This window comes from Homo sapiens, chromosome 2 (genome assembly GCF_000001405.40).
Source record: "Homo sapiens chromosome 2, GRCh38.p14 Primary Assembly".
Lineage (NCBI taxonomy): Eukaryota > Metazoa > Chordata > Mammalia > Primates > Hominidae > Homo > Homo sapiens.
The window spans coordinates 162,244,438-162,265,705 of NC_000002.12; the positions used below are offsets into that span (position 1 = coordinate 162,244,438).

At 37.7% G+C, this 21,268-nt stretch overlaps 1 long non-coding RNA gene across 2 annotated transcripts; it reads left to right on the forward strand.

Annotated features, from left to right (window-relative positions):
• LOC105373724 (uncharacterized) lies at nucleotides 1,680-16,719 on the forward strand. 2 transcript variants are annotated; one of them, XR_923544.3, is made up of 4 exons: nucleotides 1,680-1,734; nucleotides 3,881-4,131; nucleotides 5,476-5,850; nucleotides 15,203-16,719. It is a non-coding gene; the product is annotated as an uncharacterized LOC105373724 (long non-coding RNA). The 2 variants fall into 2 exon arrangements; XR_007087276.1 differs by lacking the exon at nucleotides 15,203-16,719 and adding an exon at nucleotides 1,863-1,898 and having other exon boundaries at nucleotides 5,476-5,667.

The window sequence follows — 21,268 nt, forward strand, 5'->3', positions numbered from 1 at the left end:
AATCTACTGTGTCCTTAATTTTTCCACTAATGGTTTTCTTTTTTCGAAGTTTATAATGTTCCCAACCTGATTAAAACACTTCATGGCAACCTTTCTTGGATTGTACATGAAAGGTAATGGGGAAATGTTACCAAAACATGTTGCTGTTTGCCTTAGTCAACTTCTCTGGCTACCACGGGACACTTTCTCCAGCAAAGAGCAGGACAGTGGCTTGTGAACTTCCTTTCAGACATTCTCCAGACATCCCTCCCTGAATTCCAGCCTTATGAAAATTCTGTTGAGGAAAATGAGTCATTAGGCACTTACTGGCAGAGAACTGTATTCCTGGTGGCTGGGGCTGGGCCCTCTCCTTTGCTGTTGGTGGAGTCACCTCTTTACAAAATGAAGTAATCATTAAGAGTAATATCCAAGGTGTGCTATACACTTGTAGGTATCTCCAAGTGATTGTGAAATCCTCAGATCTCAGATAAAAGCCAGCAGCCAGGTCCTGAATGAACTGTTTCTGTGTAAGTCCTCTCAGATTGATTGTCTTCTCTGGAACACACCGTGTTCTCAGAAGTTCTGCCCTAGCCTGCCAAAGCCCCAGAGTACACAGGCACTTTTTAGTGGGTGATTTCCAAGACTTTACATTGTAGAGAGAAACTATAATAAATTATTAGGGTGTAATTAAAAGACCATGCTGAGAGCATGTTAGCTCTAGCAATTAAGAATGCACTGACATGTGACTGGTCTGAGCACCACTTAGGATTCTATGACTGTGTGTGGGTGTCCACAAGATACTCATTTAATAGGCTCTATGAAGAGGTTGGAGTGCTTTAAGATACACTTAAGTTGCCACTATTAGTAAGGGTGGGAAATGATGAGAGTGAAACAATGTCTGTTTAAGTTTTTTTGTTTTTTCCTTGGAAGGTTGGGTGAGTCAAGCTGTAACTTCTGGAAAATTCTTACTAGTTTGAACTGTTTTAAGAAAAATGAGACTGACTGCAGAAATAAAGATGTCGAGTTTTTCCATCTGAATTCATGGTTTAGGGAGGTATTGTTTTTATAAAGTCACACATGTTCATTCGTTTGAGATAATGTGAATGTATTCTAATTTTCATCCAGACAAGAACTCTCATAAAATTTGGATTTTTAAAATATTGTAATATCTTTATTAGCTTTTTTTAATTTTGGAATCAAAATGAAAATACTTTTGTCAACTTTTAAAAAACATTTACGAAACTGACTCTTATTCCTACTTTATACAATTAGTTAACACCCCATCAACATTTTTGTTGAGAAAACAAAAATGAATCAGACACAGTCTGTGCCCTTAAGGAACTTACATTCTAGTATAAGTATGGCAGGTATGTTCTTAATGTTCTTACATACTTGTTTCCTTTTGCTTCCTAAAGCTCTTGTTCAGAAATAGCCTGAAGCTGAGTTTGTGTTCTGTAGAAAGAGTGTTCTCACTGGTTGGTGATTTCTTCATGGACCTGGGAAGAGGACTGGAAAGGGCACATACCACATGCATGTCATCCTTAGTTCAACCTTTGTTAGTTCTAACCTTTGTTAGTACTGAGACTTTTCTCAGAAAGCAACTCTGGGTCTATTAAAATGCTGCAAAACCAGAAAGGATGATGATTTGTCATGTAAAAATGTAAGGGCAGCAATTAGGAGAGTAGAGGCTCATCAACTGAGTTCTTTCCAGAGAGGGACCTTGTAAGGCTGACTTTGGAATATGACTGCATTCTGGTAAGCCCACTGGATAAGTGAGCTATAACATAAATCCTTAGGTTATAAGGAGGAGAGCTTACTAGAACTATTTATTAGTAGCCAATGTTTACCTGCCAAAAATGATTTTAATTTATATGTTTTCCCAGAAAACACATCCAGCTATGTATTTCTAGAGTCTGAAGGTAAGACCATGCTGAGAGCATAAGGATGTTATCTTTTTATTTTATGGTGGGGAGATGAAAGAGAGATGTGTTTATTAACCAAAAGCCATGACAAATTATTTAAGGACAAGTTACAAGGGGAATAAGGATACAAGTGCAGTAAACATAAGCCTGATTTTATACTCTTTAAAGTAAAAATTTGCTTCTAGAGAGCCTAACAGCTCCTAACATCCTACCCATTTGATTCCTCAGATTCAATAAACATTTATTGTTTACTGTTATCTACAAAGTGATTTTAATGCATTATTTCATCTGATCCATACCAAAACTCATTTTGATGATTAGGAAACAGCCTAGAAAAACTGGATAACTTGCCCAAGATTTTAACAGGACCCAGTGTTACCACCTTACATTGCTTCTTTGTGATACTTCCTAAAGTTTTATTCCAAAGTGATAAATTTTTTTTAAAATTATAATTGACATTTCACTGATTTGCTGTTGGGGGACACTTAAGGTTGTGAGGGTAAAATAATTAAGGCTAAAATATTAATGATGTTCACATCCTCAAAGTACTTTGTTACACATATCTCAAAAGAACACAATTTCACTCTACAAGGACTGTGTTCAAAATATTAATTTGTTTACAGTTTTTTTTTAATCGGGGTCTATTAATCCGATGATTATTTATATAGTGCCTGGGTTAAAAGCTCTTCCTCCAGGGACTTGCTTAAATGAAAGGATTCAACAAAATACCCATCGTCAAAGAGATTTTTGAGTTCCAAGCTAGAAAGAGTCCTGAGGTCTTCAAAGCTCAAAATAACTATCACATAGTTATAGATCTGGAAGAAGTGGCATAATATAGCATCAGTGGGAAATGATATAGCTCAAACTATTTTTTGAATCTGATCTCTTTTCTAAAACCACAATTGTTACATAAGGAAGAATATAAAGCCACATGCCTCCTAGTTTGTAATTGGCATCTACTACCTTCATAAATGTTATAATTAGATGTCAGTGTTTCATTATCCTATCATAATTAGGGCAAGTGCTCCTTGGAGACCCAAAGGGTTAACTATCAAAATGGGGTTAGAAAAGAAACAGAACAGAGACACAACCCATTTCTTTGAGTGCTGAGGACACAAAGACTCAGAAGATAAATCAGTGCTTCATTGTCATTTAAATAGGGAAATACTACATCTTTTTAGAAGTGGTTAACCAACAAGAAGACTGTTTAAATAGTATAAATAGAATGTGTAAGCACCTATAGACTAACATAACTTGTTAACACATATTGTTTTTTCACTAGCATTTTTAGATTAGAGAATATTACTACTACTAGTTCATGTCTATTGAATACTCTTATTGATCATGACGTTTTTTTCTCAGCACTTGCACGTGCTATCTCCTTTTATCCCCAGAACATTCGTACTATTATTATCCTCATTTTACAGATGAGGACATGGATGCACACAAAATCTAAATAACTTCCCCAAAGTCCCATAACTTTTGAGTGGTAGGGATGGGATAAACCCAGATAGTCTTACATTATAACACAATTTAACCTATGTTTAGGGCTCTCAGAGGAGGGTATATATTGGCACAGTGATTGGCATGTGTGATCCAGCTGGAACTAGGAGGAGTTGAAGATGGAAGGAAAAAATACATGGGCTAAAAAACTGGACATTTTGATGAGTTCAAAGTATGAGTCCTAGTAGTAACTAGTAATAAGGTGGGAAATAAAAGAGGTTTTTACCAGATAGCAGCAGGTTGTATTTAAGATTTCAGTTCAAGTTACAACGAGGCCTAAGGTATGGTCACAGAAGTAAGTAGCTGAGATAGAAGAAAGAAGTGAAGGTCCTTAGAGATATAGTTGGCAAAGCAGTGAGAGGCTAAGATATCCTTTGGGATGTTCATCTGGGAACTTAATTCACCTCAAATTATGGCAATAATTAAGGGCAGCAGATAAATGCCTTGAGTTATATCCCCAATTCTTTATAAAACAGATGGAGAGATTTCCAGTTTAAGATGCCATACTGAACATATACACTGATCTCTTTGCCTTTGGAAACTCCATTAAGCTGATTGTAAAGGAGGAAAAGGATTCTCACATGACAATGAAGAGACTGAAGAAGTATCATCAATGGATAAAGCAGAATAGAAATAGCAGCCGCCTGGACCATACCTAGAAAGGAATCATTTTGCCTGGCAGAAGCATGAAACAGTTCCATATTTGAGATGGCATTTACCACTGAGGGTAAGAAAGGGAGATGGGGCTGAAAAAAGAGAACTGGTTGGAAATCCATACATGGACTCTTCACCTCTGGGTGCAAAAAAAAAAAAAAAAAAAAAAAAAAAATCTGCAACTAAGCATTTATCCTAGGAGCATGTATGGGAGTCAGTGCATCAAAGTCAATCCAGTCCTCCAGTTTAATGGCTTTCTGACCTTTATCCTTAAACCCACCAACTGTATACCGGGATCTCTCCAGTCTCACCTCATTCTTAATCTGCAACAAAAATAAGAATCAGTAGACAAGAATAATATTTTTAAAAAAGAAAAAAGAAAAAGAATCAAAACCCCAAAACATGAAAGAAAAAACAATTTTTTAAGCAAGATGAATAAATTTTGAAAATGACCATAGAGATAATTCTGGGAACAGAAGCCTTTTAAAAACTTTGAATTAGCATTCTCAGTGAGATTCAACAAGATACTGCCACAATTTGGAGACCAAGTTTAAAAAATGTAACATTCAAAAAAACTTTCTGTGATAGATAAGTTTATGTGTCAACTTGCTGGGATAAGGAATGCCCAGATAGTGGGTAAAACATTATTTCTGAGTTTATCTTTGAGGGTGTTCCTCGAAGAAATTAGCATTTGAATCAGTATTGAGCAAAGAAGATCAGTCCTTATCAATGTGGGTGGAAATCACCCAATCTATTGAAGGTCTAGATAGAACAAATGGGCAAAGGAAAGATGATTCTCTCTCTCTTCTTGAGCTGGAACATCTGTCTTGTCCTGCCCTAGGATCCTGGTTCTCAGACCTTCTGACTCTGAAACTTACACCAGGGCCCTTCCCCATTTTTAACCTCTATAATTGCATAAGCCAACCCATAATAAGTCTCCTCTTATCTACCTATCTAACATCTATCTATCTATCATCTATCTATCTATCTATCTATCTATCTACCTACCTACCTGTCTATCTCCCATTAGTTCTTTTCTCTGAAGAACCTTGATGAATATGCTCTAATGTATTGAAAATATGATCACCAAAATTTATTTAAATCAAAATAGGTTTTGTGAAATAAAATTGAGGAAGCCTCTCAGAACAGAAAGGCAAAGTTGGATAATATAATGGAAAGTTAAGAGACATAACATATAAACTCAGGAAGTTTGAGGAATAAAGGGCAGAGAAGGCAGAGGGGAAGAGGTTCTTACAGAATGAATGCAAGGGAATTTCCCCAAACTGTAAAAGAAAATACATTTTTCAGGGCCCACAAAATGTCCAGCACAAAATATGAGAAAAGACTTTTACCTAAACACATAATTGTGAAATTCTATAATATTGATTATAAAGATAAATTTTATATTCTTCCTTAGGAAAAAAAAAGTATCATGTGAAAGAAGCAAGAATTGGACTGACCACACACTTGTCATTGCCAATCAGATGCTGCAAAACAATGGATCTGTTTTTCAGAGTTCTGAAATAAAATGCTAATCAAACTAGAATCTGCTTAGCTAAGACACTGCCAAATATGAAGACCAAATAAAAGATTTTCAGATGTGTCATAATTCAGAGTTTATACTCCAAGCATTCTTTTGTAGAAAGGAACTCAAGGGTGTATTTCAGCAAAATAAAGAAGTAAAGTACTAGAGCCATCACTCAGAGAGCAAATGACCAGACCAGATGCTAACAACAAACATTGTGTGACTTCCTATCTCCAGCCACTTCTGAAGTCAGATCTATTTTCTTGAGTAAGTAATTTTTTTCCAAGTTTGGGTTGTTTTTCATACCATTTGGAACCAAGAGTTCTGGTAGTCACAATAATGTTTGGAGATACTAGATGGACTGTAAAAGCAGAATCTCTATGTACGTTCTCCGCTGAACAGCACGGGAATTGGTGCCACAGAGAAAGAAATGTGATCCTACCAAACCAGTTAGCTCAAGAGCAATGCTTAGGTAGCCATAGCAATTTAAACTGTTTATTGATTTAAAATTTTTAGAAGTCACTGAGACCTTTATAGTCAGAGAAATTGTCAACCTTGACAAGTATAAAGGTAAATGTACATGTAACCAAAGTCGGGAAGTGAAAGAGAGTGAAGAAAGGTAGGTAAGGTAGACAGAGGGCAGGAAAGCCCATGTCCTCATCTCCCAAAGCAGGTAGTGAAGAGATCTGCCCTGTGAAGACCAGAATAAGAATTGGAGGTACACTTAACAGTCCCTGCCATGTCATCAACAAATGGTGTTGAGAACACATTGTAGGAAGGGAAATGCTTACATTCATAGAAATACAGAAGCCATATGATTTTTAAATATCATTTCAGAAGTTCAAAAATAAGTCTACAAACTCATGTGATGGATATTAGGTCTATTCCTAAGTAGTCTCATACTATAGATGGAATTTGTGCTTGGCGTCTTTTTCCCTTTTTAGGAACATTTGGTCCACAGTGCAGTTCAAAAAAAAAAAAAAATGGGTAAAGGACCAAAGCAGGCAGTTCATGCAGGCAAACCCACACATTCACAAAAGGTGAAAATATAAAAATAAAAATGTTAAATATTACCAGGAATCAAAGAAATGCAAAATAAAATATCAAAATAGGATCATTTTAATTTGGATTATCAGAGATTAAAAAGATTGGAGAACCACACTGGTAGCAAGGCTGTAGAGAAGTTGGCACTTTCATAATCAGCTGGTGGTAGAAGAAGGACTGAAAACTTTCTGGAGGGAAGTTTACGAGTAAATGTCAAAATTATGCATATTTTTTGGTATAGCAAATCTAACTCTAGGAATGTACTTTAAGGTTAACATTGGATAAATGTACAAAGATGCAAGTTCAAGAATACTTTTTGAAACTTTGTTTACAATATCCAGAAATTAAAACTATTTAAGAATTCATCCAGACAAAATTAGATAAATAAATTATGTAACACATAAAAATGAATGGTGCAGGTCTAAATTGGTTGACATGGAAAATGTCTACATTCTGTTGCTTAGTATATATAATACGACTTTATTTTTGTGGAGGGGAAGAAGGAAATGTTTATGTAGCTGTGTACATAGTGAAAACTCTGGAAATACATGTCTCAGAGCCATGAGTACCAAGGTGGGGCTTGGTGCCATGGTCTGCCCTGGAAGCAGATAAAAAAAGCGGTGCAATGTCTACGGTATATTTGTAAATAGTAGTAATTCTCACTAAAAGTTGGTCTTCTCTTTATTATCACCATGTCCAGAAAATCTAAACTATTTTCAAGATAGAACATTTTTTCCTGCTGAGGCAGATGACTCTACTCCTACCATACCCCTTCCTTGGTGTGCTATTCCATCAGAGGTAAAAAATATGGTATCCCAGTGAGAAAATAAAATTAGGTGAGAGGGCCAGCTAATCAAGAAAGTTATAGAACATATTTCTTTGTGTAAGTAAAAAATATCAGGGTCAAGTATAGGACCTTCCAGTCCTTGCCTGGTCTCCGCTGTGGACTTCCTGGACTCCGTGTCCTCTAGTTTGGCCGCTGGCCCATCAGAGGGAGCCATGCCACAAATGCAGCCTTTTTCTTTCATGAGCTTGAATGATTTTTTTTAAAGTCTTATTCCCATGGCAAGTTTGAATTTTAAAAGAGAATCACTAAAAATGCCATGCTTTAATCTAAAGTAATGAATATCTTAACGGTGGTGAATTTAGGCAGCATGGCTGGCTGATGGGAAAGTTATGTAACTATTTCAGGAAGTAGATTTTAAGGCAGTAAAGAGACTAGGAAAGGAGAAGACAGAAATTTGTGTAGCATATCTTACATCATATCGTCATATCATACTGTTACAATGTGTAAGGCCAGGCCTCAGGTTTTCCAGATATAAATCAGATGCTATCATGAAAAAATTAACTGGCCCTGACTCAAGGTCTGTGTAGTTTTAAGCCCATGCATACATAATGTTTCTTATGTGTCTGGTAGAAGGCACTGGGAAAGAAAAAGAGAATGATAGGAACATAAGATTTATGGATGAAAAAATAATAAAGACATTACCAAAATGGGCTAAGTCCTTGCTCAAATGTTACCTTCTAAATTAGGCCCAATTCCCCATTTAAAATCAGCTCCCCTTAGCTTCCCATTTTTCTGATCTTACTTTCTTCCCCCCCATAGATCTTACCACCATCCAACATCTTAAAACATTTATTATTTTTATTGCTTATTGCCTCTTTTCCCTGCATGGAGCTCCATGAGGGCAAGTACTTTTGTTTGTTTTGCTCATATATCCCAAGAGCTGAGGAACAATGCTTGGCATAAAATAAGTATTTAATCAATATCGTTGCCTGAATGAATTAATGAATGAATGACAGAGAGGATACGGAGCTGTCCTGCGGCCCTCCATGGCCCAGGCTAGACAACACCAAGAGGGAGCACTTCCAGGTGTTACCAGGAAAGGGTCAAGCTCCTTTTTTTTATTAAACAATTAGACGTTAACTATTGTTATCTAAAAATGGGCATTTAATCCTTGTGCTACTGCTTCAGGGTGCCTTTCAAGATAAATTGTAGGTTTTAAAAAAATTGTAATGTGGAGAATTAGTAATAGGAGAGTTTACTGCAGCTATTCAGTTATTTTTCCTGAGAACTGAGGAAAGATTACCAGCTATTTATGAGAAGTATCTGTTTTATGGATTAGTAAATTGAGAATTAGTTGAACTCCATGTCTACTTCCTTTTGACATTTTAATTAGTGAAATTTGAATGAATGCATTATCTAATAATACTGTGTTCCACTGTGATTCTTTTCAGCAATTGTAATTTTTATAAAAATATATAATAGTACTAGAATACTATAATTAATTATAAGAACAATCATTTGATTAAATTCTGGAAATGCTAGAAATCTCGAAAAATCCTTGTGAGGTTCATGTGCCAAAACTGTGGGACTCTTTTTTTATAACAAGTGATTTACCATGCTTTTGGGGGATGACTTGGTATAACATCAATTTTAGTGGCAATGCTAAGCTGATGTAGACAAGGAGTTGTCTGGGGGCCTCTGAGCTCTGCAAAGCCTTTGGGGCCATCTGGACCATCAGGCTGCTGAGGGATTGCGCTTTCCCTCCAATTGGCACAAACTCTGATGCAGCAAGTTCTCCCTTTCATGCTGCCTCCTCCTCCAGACTCATCCTCTGGAAGAAAGCGTCACAGGGGAGGGAGTTGTGAAGAAGGATGGAGGAAGCAGTAGGCAGGAGAAAGGAAAGCCGGGGAAGGTGGACTCTGTGGAACTGCACAATCTGTTCAGGCATTAATTTACTGTCCTATTATGTGACTGCCACTACCATGGGCAGGACTTTGTGTAGCAGACAAGCCCAAGTTTTAAGACAAAGAGTATTTGATCTCCCCACACCCCATCTTTTAAAGCGTTAAAAGACTACTAGTCTGGACTAGACTACCAGTCTAAGGCAGTGAAGAGAGTGTTCTGGGAAAGCAGAGACCCACAGACACCAGCATGGGGTCATAAATATAAAGCCTAGAAGGGTGGAATTTCCCTGAGGAAGAAGAAAGAAAATGAAGGCAATGATTGCATTAGAAGATGAAGCTACTAATGTCAATGGCAGAACTGCTCAGCATCTCTACCCATGCAGATCAGCCCTGGAGAGTCAGGAAAAGTAAAGACAAGACAGTATTCTAATGGTGTCAATACATGTATGGGCTACCATATTGTGCCATTGATATCTTTTTCATTTGGGGTTATGTTTCTCATGTTTTGACCAATGCAGTTGCTGAACCTGAGTTTTGACTATACCCTTTACTCAGTTGTCACTTTGATCTTTGGGAAAAATATAGGAAAAGAAAGGCAATGGGAGTGAACAGACATGAAGAGCCAGAGGGTCAGAGTACGTCCTAGCCTTGCTCGCATGTGGGGAAGTATAAGACACAAAAATGAATCAGAGCCTTGTTCTGCTTTTCCTCCCTTACTTCAAACACTGCTAATGATTTTGCCTTGGTAAAAAAGAGACTACTTTATATTCTCTTTTAAACTGAGTTCCCTGGAAACAGATTTTGAGATGAAGAGATGCAAACAGAGTCAGCTTATTTTTTTGGAAGGAGTAAGGGGGAGTTGCTCTTACAAGAGACACCTGTAGGAAAGTGAAGGAAACAGCATGGGGCAGAGTGAAATGCTGAACTGCAGTACAGTGTCAAAGGAGGCCTCAGCCAGCCCTTCAGAGACTTCAGGATTTGGACTGTCCCTTCAGAGTTGTCTCAAGTGGAGTAAATGAAACAGACTTATGCCCCTCATCAGTCATTATTTGGCTTCAGGCTACCCTCCAGAGGGCATAGCCTGAGAGGAAATAGTTCCCCACAGCCTAGGACAATACTCGTTAAGAGAGGCAGCTGTGAGCTGTCAGCAGCCATATTCATAGCCCCAGGAAGGTGAGTACCTTGGCCCTGAAGAGGGAATCTTCACAAAGAATCTGTTTTGGTCCATTCCTCTGCTATAACAAAATACCTAAGACTGGGTAATTTATAAACAATAGCAATTTATTTCTCACAGTTCCAAAGGATGCAAAGTCCAAGATTAAAGCACTGGCATTTGGGTGTCTGGTGAGGGCCTTCTTGCTGTGTCTTCATATGACAAAGAGTGGAAGGGCGAAAGGAGCCTAATAGCTGACTCCCGTAAGCCTTTTTATAAGGGCACTAATTCCACACATGAGGACAGAGCCCTCATAGTCTGATAACCTCCTACAGACCCTTCTTAATACTATCACATTGGGTCTTAGGTTCCAACATGTGAATCTTTAGGGGACACACACTTTCAAACCATAGCAGGACCACAGTGTCCATTACGTGGTCTTATAATTAATTGTTTTATGATACAAAGATGGGCGCAACCAGAAAGAGAAGACTTCAAAGAGTTAAGAGAAAAATAAGGGACTTTAAAGCCAGGTAATAACCCTCAAGAAGAAAACTGGGACTTCATATTTAAACAAACTGTGTCTATGTCTTTCTTAAAAAAATGAAATGTCTAGAACACTATCTGGTACAGTAGCCACTAGCCACATGTATCTATTGAGCACTTGAAATGTGGCATGTCCAAATTGAGATGTGCTATAAGAGTAAAATAGCACATCACAACAATTTTTAAAGACTTAGTAGGAAAAAAATTTGAACTATCTTATTAATAATTTTATATTGGTAGCATGTCTATAATATTTTGACTATATTGAATTGAGTTATTAAATTTAATTTTACCTACTTCTTGTGACTTTTTAAAATGTAGCTATTAAAAATTTTTAAATTAGTTGTGTGTATCTCACTATAGTTTTATTGGACAGAGCTGGTCCAGGATAATCTTAAAGTCTGATAAAGTTGTTATCTCAGGCCACAGACTATAGCAGAGTAGAAATGGAAAAAACAACATAATGGACATTCTCGTTATGCAACATTCTCAGTAACACATTTCCCTGGCCTTTCTAAATTGGTAACCTTTTGGGCTCCTCATTTAGCTATTGAGAGGCTGTATTAGCTCAGGCTGCCATGCAAAATGCCAAAGACTGGGTGGCCTGAACAACAGAAATTAATTTTCTCCTCACAGTTCTGGAGGCTGTAAGTCTGAGATCAGGGTGTCAGCATGGTCAGGTTCTGGTGAGGGCTCTCTTCCTGGCCTGCAGACAGCCACCTTCCTACTATATAATCACAAGGTAGAGGGGTGGGGGAGTGGGAGGAGCTCTCTGGTTTCTTCTTCTGCAAGGGCACTAATCCCATCAAAAGGGCCACACCTCATTACCTCATCTAAACCTAATTAACTCTCAAAGGACCCATCTCCAAATACCATCACAGTGGGAGTTAAGACTTCAATATACAAATTTGGAGTTCATAAAAAAAATTCAGTTCAAAACAGAGACCAAAATAGCACCTAGGTCATACCACTAGTTTGCCCTCATTGACAGAGTGGAAATGAGCATAGTAAGTACTCAAGACTCATTATGTTCACTCTTCTAGGAAACCAGAATCTCTGGGAAGTTAAAAGGTTTGCTCTATTCCTATTCAAAAGAGATTCTGACTTGCTTTAAACATTTTCCTCAGGACAAGAGAATTGTATCTGCCATGGCTCAGTGTGGATAGACTATGAAACAGCTGGAGCCCAGTGAGCAAATTTTTGGGTACAATAAAATAGTTATTCCGTATGCCAGGAATATGACTACATGTGGCACTAGTTGATGACCAAGCAGAACTATGAGTCATATTTAGGGCAAAAATAAGGTGATGCGAATAAATTACTTGCATTTGTTTCTATCACCAACTGTGCTATACTTTCATATTTATTTTATTTATTGCCATCAATGTCATGCTAGCCTGCTTTCCCTAGCTCATGATTTTATTTGAACATCATCCAGAGCCACTCATTCCTCCCATTCCCCCTCCCACTGCCAATGACCAAATCCAGATTTTTGTTAACCTCAGCCAGAATGACTGCAACCAGCTTTTTCCTTGATCTTTTTCCTTCCACTTTTTTTCTTCAATCTTTGATTTAGCCCATTAACTCCTTGTAGGTCATCTTTTCTAAAACATGCCATTTCCCTGCTCAAGAATAACTTCATATTAGTTATCAATCAAACCCAGATACAGTATAGCATTCTAGTACACAAGCAAAATGTATTAGGCTTTCTTCTTCTTTCTTGATCTTTATCTCTTTTTGGAAAAAACTTCTTACTCTTTTCCTGTCTTTAAATTATATTAAATATGGATCTAACACCTCATATATGTAAGACATTATTTGAATTATTTATTTATTCTAATTCAGAATCTTTTCTAAAATAATCCAGAACTTCTCTGATTGATCCCTGACTTTTATAAACTCTACAGTGCCTATAATTTGTATACCATGTTGTTGTTGTATGCTTATATTTCTTCTAATAGTTTTATGCCTATAATCATTGGACTCTCAACCAATTTGTTAACTCTCCAAGGTCAGAGATTACATTTTATATCACAAATCAGAAAACGAAATTAATATTTATTGAATGCTTCCTCTGTGCCAGTAACTGTAACATGTGTTCAACATTTGTTATTGAGAAATCTCTGAGTCCACTTTTTTGTGTGTATGCATGCTCTGCCTTCATCATTTCCACATTGCCCTACCAGAGAGCCCTGACTACTCATGCCAGATAACACCAACCCAAGTAAGTAGCAGGTTTACTAGTGTTTTAGGACAATGATGGTGGAATTTCCACTAGTAATTTCTTCTACTTGGGTTCCAGCCTCCTGCCTGTTCCAAGGACTTTGTCTTTCTTCAACATTTTCTTGCTTCCTTTCTAGCTCTTTCTAAATGATCCTGTTTTGTGCAAAACAGTTAAGCTATTTCCTTGATTCATTCCCAGTAGAGTCACAACAAGGTCTCATCTTAAAAAATAAATCCACCCATTAGGGGTTTCTAAAGCAAAGACAGTTTCTCTTTCTGTCTCTCTCTTTCTCTCTCTCTCTAAAACAAAGGCAGTTTAGTTTTTTGCAAGCTATAATTTTTTTATCTACTATGCAAACATTTTCTCATTTAATCCCCCCAACAATCCATTTCACAGCAGCTAGTGATATACATTTATTGCTTACTATGCACCAGGCACTGTTCTAAATGCATTATTCATATTATTTCATTTAACCTGCACTATAAACACAAGACACAGGTCTTGTTATTATTCACATTTTACAGACTGGGATGAAGATAAGCAATTTGTCTAAGAGTAAGCAAAAGAGCTGGAATAAAAACCTAGGCAGTCTGATTCCAGAGCGCAAACCCTTGATGTTGCTGTCCTGGCCCACAGAGAAGGAAACAGACATAAGAGGTTAAGTGATCTTCTGTGGTCACTCAGATGGTGACTAATGTTACTGAAGTCCTTGCTGTGTCCGCCAGGGTCTCATGTACCATTCTTTGCTTTGTTAGGGAAAGCATTGCTGTCCTTCCCTTGTTGCCCTCACTTGGCTTCCCCAACAGGTACTTAACGTAACTTAATTGTGTATATTAAATTCACGGAGATCTGAAGGGGAGGTCAGTACTTTTATAAGACTTATCCTCAATTTCTCCTTTTGTTTGATTTCCTCATATCTTGTCTATCAACAAATCTGCCACCAATATGCCTCTTTTCTAGTCCATTCCATCACTATCGCCCTATTCCACACAATAGACTTGCTTAGTGCCATCTAACTGCTCTCTCTGCTTCTATTTTGTCCCTTTCAACCAATTTGTCAGAGTAGCTGGAGTGTATATCAATTCTTGTCACTCCCTGGATGAAAATCTCCAGCAGCTTCTGATTATCTTCAGACTGAAATCCAGCTCCAGACAGTGGCCAACGGGGCCCTGTGTGAGCTGGCTCTGCCCTTTTTTCCAACCTCATTTTAGGTCATTCTCCTTACTCATCACTCTTCAACCACCCTGGCCTTTTTGCAGTTCCTTGAACATTCCAGGCTTTCTTCACATGGGACTCATGCTATGCAGTTGTTTTTGTCCGGGAAGTCTCTTCCCTCCACCCTTTAAGGTGGTCCTTTTCTTGTTTTCCTCTTCTTGTTTTCCAAGTGACCCTCTAAAATGTCACCTCCATTCAGAGTCCATCCTTAACCTTTATATTCGCTACATGCCATGTCTGTTTCTTATGTAATAGATGGGTAAATAAATGGTGAGTAGATCCACTGGAGAATGGGTATATAAAATAGATGATATTGAACAGATAAATAAGTGCAATGGCTACTAGATCCATTGGAGACATAAAGCAAAAATACATACAATGACTAGAAAACAAGTCTAAGGTAATATGTAAACAATGTTTGCCAGTGTGTACAGATTAAAAGCATGATGTGTGAGGGAAGCTAAAATAAAAGAGAGAAGATTAACATAGGGGCTTACTCAGAGATGATTTATTAGAGGTTGTGAGACTTTGCTGTGAAATACTGCATGGTTTTGGACTGGAGGAAATTTTTATGCATAGAGGGAAACTGTAAGAAATCTAACTTGATAGGCTCAGAGAGGTTATGCTGGAGGGTAATAATAATAACAATGTGGGGTCAATTTGTGATGGACACAAAAAGTGACGTGTTCATATAGCAATTGTAAATTTATGTTAGTAATTGATTTTTTTTTTCTCTCTGTTGCCAGGTTGGAGGGCGGTGGCACGGTATTGGCTCACTGCAACCTCCGTCTCCCAGGTTCAAGTGATTCTCCTGCCTCAGCCTCCCAAGTAGCTGGGACTACAGGCAAGCACCACCATGCCCAGCTAATTTTTGTATTTTTAGTAGAGACGGGGTTTCACCGTGTTGGCCAGGATGGTCTCGATCTCTTGACCTCGTGATCTGCCTGCCTTGGCCTCCTAAAGTGCTGGGATTACAGGCATGAGCCACCACATCTGGCTTAGTGATTGATTTTTTTTAAAGTGTGGTAGAAATTTCAGTCTAATACTGCCCTTGTTGCTCAAAAGATTTTTGAATATTTCCTATGAAATGGCCCAGAGAGTACAATATGAATTTTTTTCTTCAATTTTTTTCTCATTTATTTCTTCTAGCAAATTTCTGCTCTTTTGCATTAATATCATTTTTGAAAATAGATAAAAGTTATGTAGTGCCAAACCCACTGAATGAAATGGTGATATGCTATTACTATTATCTAGGGTCAAATGTAATATCTCACTCTAATTATATTAATATCTTTATCTATATCTAGCTAGTTTTCCATCTATCTAGCTAGCTAGCTAGCTAGCTACTCAATATGTCAATCTGTTTAATATGTCAATAGTATGCTCAGAAGGGCTTACAACTGAAGACATTCCAAGACTTAGTGAGGAAGTGCAGCATAACTGGAATTTGAATACACCTCCCAAGAGGGGAAAAAAAATTCATTTACAAATGTGGGTTCTGGTGGTTTCTTAAAAAAAAAAACATAAAAAAAAACTCTTCCTGCTTTTTTTAAGCTCCATATTTTACCTAGATCATAAGATTCTAAACACTTGTATTGCACGCAAATAGGCAGATTTTATAAAAAGAAAAGTGTCATTTTAAAGAATTGGCTACGTTGGTCAAGTCAGAGCTCCCTAAGGGATTTCTGTCCTCAAAGTCACAATACAGTGATTCTTTATAAGATACTCAATGCTTGCTTTGGGATTCTAAAGGGAACATTAATATGTCTCGTAAAAATAAGGAATCCTTAAATGAGTAATTTGTGTACAACACTGCAGATAGTGCCTGGCACATATGGTATATTTAGTAAAAGTTGGTTCCTTTTCCACTAATCATGTTTTGAGAATTCAGTATCCTCTATAGTTTTATTTTACCTTTATCAGTGGTAACCTGCATGTTTTGAACAGGAGCAGGTATAGAAGTTCAGTAACAGGGGGGCAGGGGAGGGAGAGCATCCAGATAAATAGCTAATGCATGCTGGGCTTAATACCTAGGTGATGGGTTGACAGGTGCAACAAACCACCATGGCACACATTTTACCTGTGTAACAAACCTGCACATCCCACAAGTGTATCCTGGAACTTAAAAAAAATTAAACACAATTTTTAAAAAAACAAGAAGTTCAGTAATATTGTCTTTTATAGGAGATAGAAATTTTTGTTTCCGTTACTAGTATTGCAAAAGGGTTGTTTGGATTCAGAAAATTAAACTATCTAGTTATAAAATCCATTCTGTGCTGTTTCTAAATTATTTGGTTAGAGAATTGGTCAGATGTGTTTGAGTCATTTCCTGTGTGAAACTGAATGCTCATACATAAGAGCAATTGGCTCTTTGGAAATTATAACTTCTTATGAAGTAATTCTCATATTTCATTAGTTATGATTGAATCAGTCTGAGTCCAGTCTGAAGGGAGAAACCACATAGTAATATGGACAGGTAAAGTTTGATATAAATAATTATGAACTGTATCAGTATTGAAGTAACAGAGGATTACCTAATAAGAAGTAAAAATAATTCTAAAGAACATAGAAATAGCAGATATATGAAGGAGCCACCACTGTTAGACCTGACAGAGAGCATGCAAGGCTGAGATCAAGGCGTTACTGGAGAAGGCAATCATGGGTGTGGGTCACTCAATGGTGGAGAAGTTGCTGTGGCGCCAATGGAACTTGCTGGAAATGTTCCCCCTAGGGTGCCAGGGAAAGCTGTTCATAAGAGGTGTCACTTGAGGCACTCTACACAAAACTGCCTGAGGAGGTGCCAGCAGAGTTGCTGGCCACTGAACACTGCTGGCTGCAGTGCACTGTAATAGCTTGCTGCTGGAGAAAGCCACATAGACTACAGGAACTGGACGCTGGAGAAGCCACCCACACTGCAGGAACTGGCTAAGCAAGCACACAAGAAGCAGGAAGCAAAACCTAACCCTTTTTTCCTGCAATGTCTCTCCAGTCCCTCCCACTTGCAAAGCTTAATATCATGCCAGGAGGCAAAGAAAAAATATTTAAAGGGTCCAGATACATTTTCAGAGAGCTAACAAAAAAGTTGAATTTGGAGATAAGAGTCAACAAATTGATAATTGGCACTGTTGTTTTCTGATATTGTAGGGACTAAAAATATTAATATGAATATTCACAGAAACTCCCCCTCCCTCTATTCCCATTTCTAAGGTATAAAAACCATTTGTGGTTCAGGCATCCATCAAGTCTGGGATAATGAACAGAGCGACGCAAAGAAATAAACATAGTAAAACCATATTGATTTACATTATAAAGGAAGTCATCAGGGAGACCTTGGGAAAAGGGGCCAGGGAGATAAAGAGCTACACATGATGATTTTAGGAACATAATTTTAAGAAGTACAGTAATAAGTAGCGTTCATGCTATACTAAATGGTTCTTTGGGAAATACAGAGTTAAAATAATTTATTTAAAATATTGTATAATATATAATTTCTCTTTGGAACTTTTTCATTTGCATGTCAGGAATAAACCTTTAAGTTGGTTTTATATTAATTTAGACGCTGATGTTGAGTTTCTTCTAAATACAACTCCATGCTGAGAGAAACCACAAAGAGGCCCAGCTTCAATTGGGTTACACTGATCACAACATTTTAAAGCTTTGCAGATATACTTGAAGGTGAGATGTGGAAAGTGCTGAGCCCTATTTATTTAATTAATAACTTTTAAATCCAAGTTAAAGCCCACATGCTAGATGGGGCTATGGGAAGAAGACTATTTTTAGAAAGTAATACTTATGGGCCGGGCGCGGTGGCTCACGCCTGTAATCCCAGCACTTTGGGAGGCCAAGGCGGGAGGATCACGAGGTCAGGAGATCGAGACCATCCTGGCTAACACAGTGAAACCCCGTCTGTACTAAAAATACAAAAAATTAGCCGGGCGTGGCGGCGGGCGCCTGTAGTTCCAGATGCTGGGGAGGCTGAGGCAGGAGAATGGCGTGAACCCGGGAGGCGGAGCTTGCGGTGAGCCGCCGAGATTGCACCACTGCACTCCAGCCTCGGCGACAGAGCGAGACTCCATTTCAAAAAAAAAAAAAAAGTAATGTAATACTTATACGTATATATTTATGATATGTATCTTTTTGTTATGTCCATAGAAGATCTGGACGTTAAATTGCCCCCCATCTACACTGAATAGCATATTCATAGCAACCATGTTTCATTACAGATACTATTTACTTTTTTGGGATGAGTCTTTTGAGCTAACCATTGATGAAGTGGAGAGGGCCCCAATCTTGTTTATATCCTACTTAAACGTTAAACATAGATCTAAAATTCACTAATAGTATGCCATACCATTACCCTATTCCACACAACAGACTTGCCTAGTGTCATCTAACTGCTCTCTTTGCTTCTATTTTGTACTACTGTAACTTATGTAGACTGTTTTTGAGGTGTCAACAAATATCACGTTTTTTCATCTATGTTTCTCATAGTAGTAGCTCAGGCTACTACAGCTGCTGGTACTCTTCTGGCAACTCCTGCTCCTGTATTCTGTACATTAATTCCTATGAGGTGACAACAGCTAAACATGTTCCATGAAATATCCAAATTTTCATTATAGTCCCTCAAGGTTGATATTATTATAGTTCCCTATGGTCTCAGAGAGATTAAGTGGCTTGCCGAAGTCACAAATCCAGTGAGGATCCAAACCCAAGTTTGTCTCACTCTCTGCTGTCCCCATAAAAAGGCTGTCCCTATAAAATATATAAAACCGTGTATCTAGTAAGACTAAAGAGAAATGCACAAACTGAAGAATGCAGAAATTTCAAATTAACTTCATAAGTCTTAGAAGGAAATAAACTAATTTTCTTGTTTCTTTATTGTTATGAGTCACATAATTGTTAGCCAGATTTTGGGAGTGAGCATTTTATCATGCTCAGGAGGAGTGAGAGATACCTTACATACATTTCTCTCCATTCCAGTTTAGAAAATGTGAATGTGCTAGATTCTGGGAAGTGACATTTGGGTTTTGTGTTTGAAGACCATAAAGGGTGTCTGCTGAAGAGTTGGCAAAGAACAACTTCTAACCATGTGCAGAGGCACTCATTTGAGAAAGGATAAGGGAGACCAGAAAAGACTATAGCAAGAACATTTGGTAGAATGTATCAGTAATACCCAATAAGCAATTTATTTTGGAGTTGGACAATGCTAATATTTTATCACTCTCTAGTATTCTTCCCCATTGGCACATATGTGTGTTTGAGTCTCTTAAATCTTAAAAGCAACAATGTTAAGAGAAACTCCAATCCTCTTTGGCTTTATGGTCAACTGAATTAAAAACCCCAGAATTCTTTTCTCTAAGGCATAACACTCTGCTGTAGGGACTATTAGACTGCAGAGAGGAATCTATAGCATTACTCACTTTCAACAATTACTTGTGAACTGTACTAATTAATCATCCTTTGGAAAATCATTTCTTATTTATGTTTGTGTTGCCATAATCAATGCCTTACATTCAAGATACTTACATAAACTCTAAGTTGCTGTATTTTAATTTCATATGGTCTGAAATGATATCAAACTTTTAGGATTATGCTTTATATTTCTTATCCACCAGGTCTGCCAATAATCTGTTGGTTTGAAAATACTTGTTGTATAATTTCCTGACACTTTTGGGCCTTTTGAAACTGCCTTAAGACACATGACTCCAGACGGGGTACCTGTTCTGTGAGATCCTTACAATGCCTTTTAACATACGTGAGCTACATTTCAATATGTATTGCACTGAGCAGGTATTTAGCCCACGGTTGATATTACAAGTCATTGGGCAAGGTCTTAAAATGAAAGCAGGAAGCATGGAACTATGAGGATGCTATAGTTGTAATGGACCTTTGATATTATCTAATCCAATCTCTCATTTTCCAGGAGAGGGAACACTGTGAACTAAGGTTGCTCAAAGTCACCCACTGGTTGAAGGTCTTTCTTTTTTTTTTTTTTTGAGGCGGAGTCTCCTTCTTTCACCCAGGCTGGAATGCAGTGGCACGATTTCGGCTCACCACCACCTCTGCCTCCTGGGTTCAAGCAATTCTTCTGCCTCAGCCTCCTGATTAGCTGGGTTTACAGGTGCCTGCTACCACTAATTTTTGTATTTTAGTAGAGATGGCTTTTCACCATGTTGGCCAGCTGGTGTTGAACTCCCGACCTCAAGTGATCCATCCGTCTCGGCCTCCCAAAGTGTTGGGATTACAGGCGTAAGCCACTGGGTCTGGCCGAAGGTCTTATGGAGACTAAAACTCAGGCATTCTAACTCACAGGCTGATGTCTAACATATTCTGTAAGTGACCCTAAAATATGGGTATTGAACTGTTCAGTAACAATCAGCTGAAACGCTACAATAATCATCGCTATTTTTTGAATGAAACATATGCACCATAGTTCAAGTTTTCAGGTACCATCACATATTAAGTTTCACACTATTTTAAACATGTATTTTAAAACTTTAAAGTAGAAATAACACTTTTTTAATTGAAAAAAGTTACTGAAAAACATAGATGAAAAAACCTGATATTTGTTGACACCTCAAAAACAGTCTACATATGTTACAGTAGTACATTTAGCTATTTTATGCATTTGGTTTCTTGCATAGTTTCCAAAACATTCTAGAAGACAGCAATACTTTAAATGGAGTCAGCTGGAGTTTAAAAAAGTATTTTAAGAAAACCATCAATTATGTGTGTCTTCTTTTGTCCTCCTGTATACCCAAGAGATCTCATTGGTTAATATTCATCTCTGATTAGGCATTATCAAGGAAAGA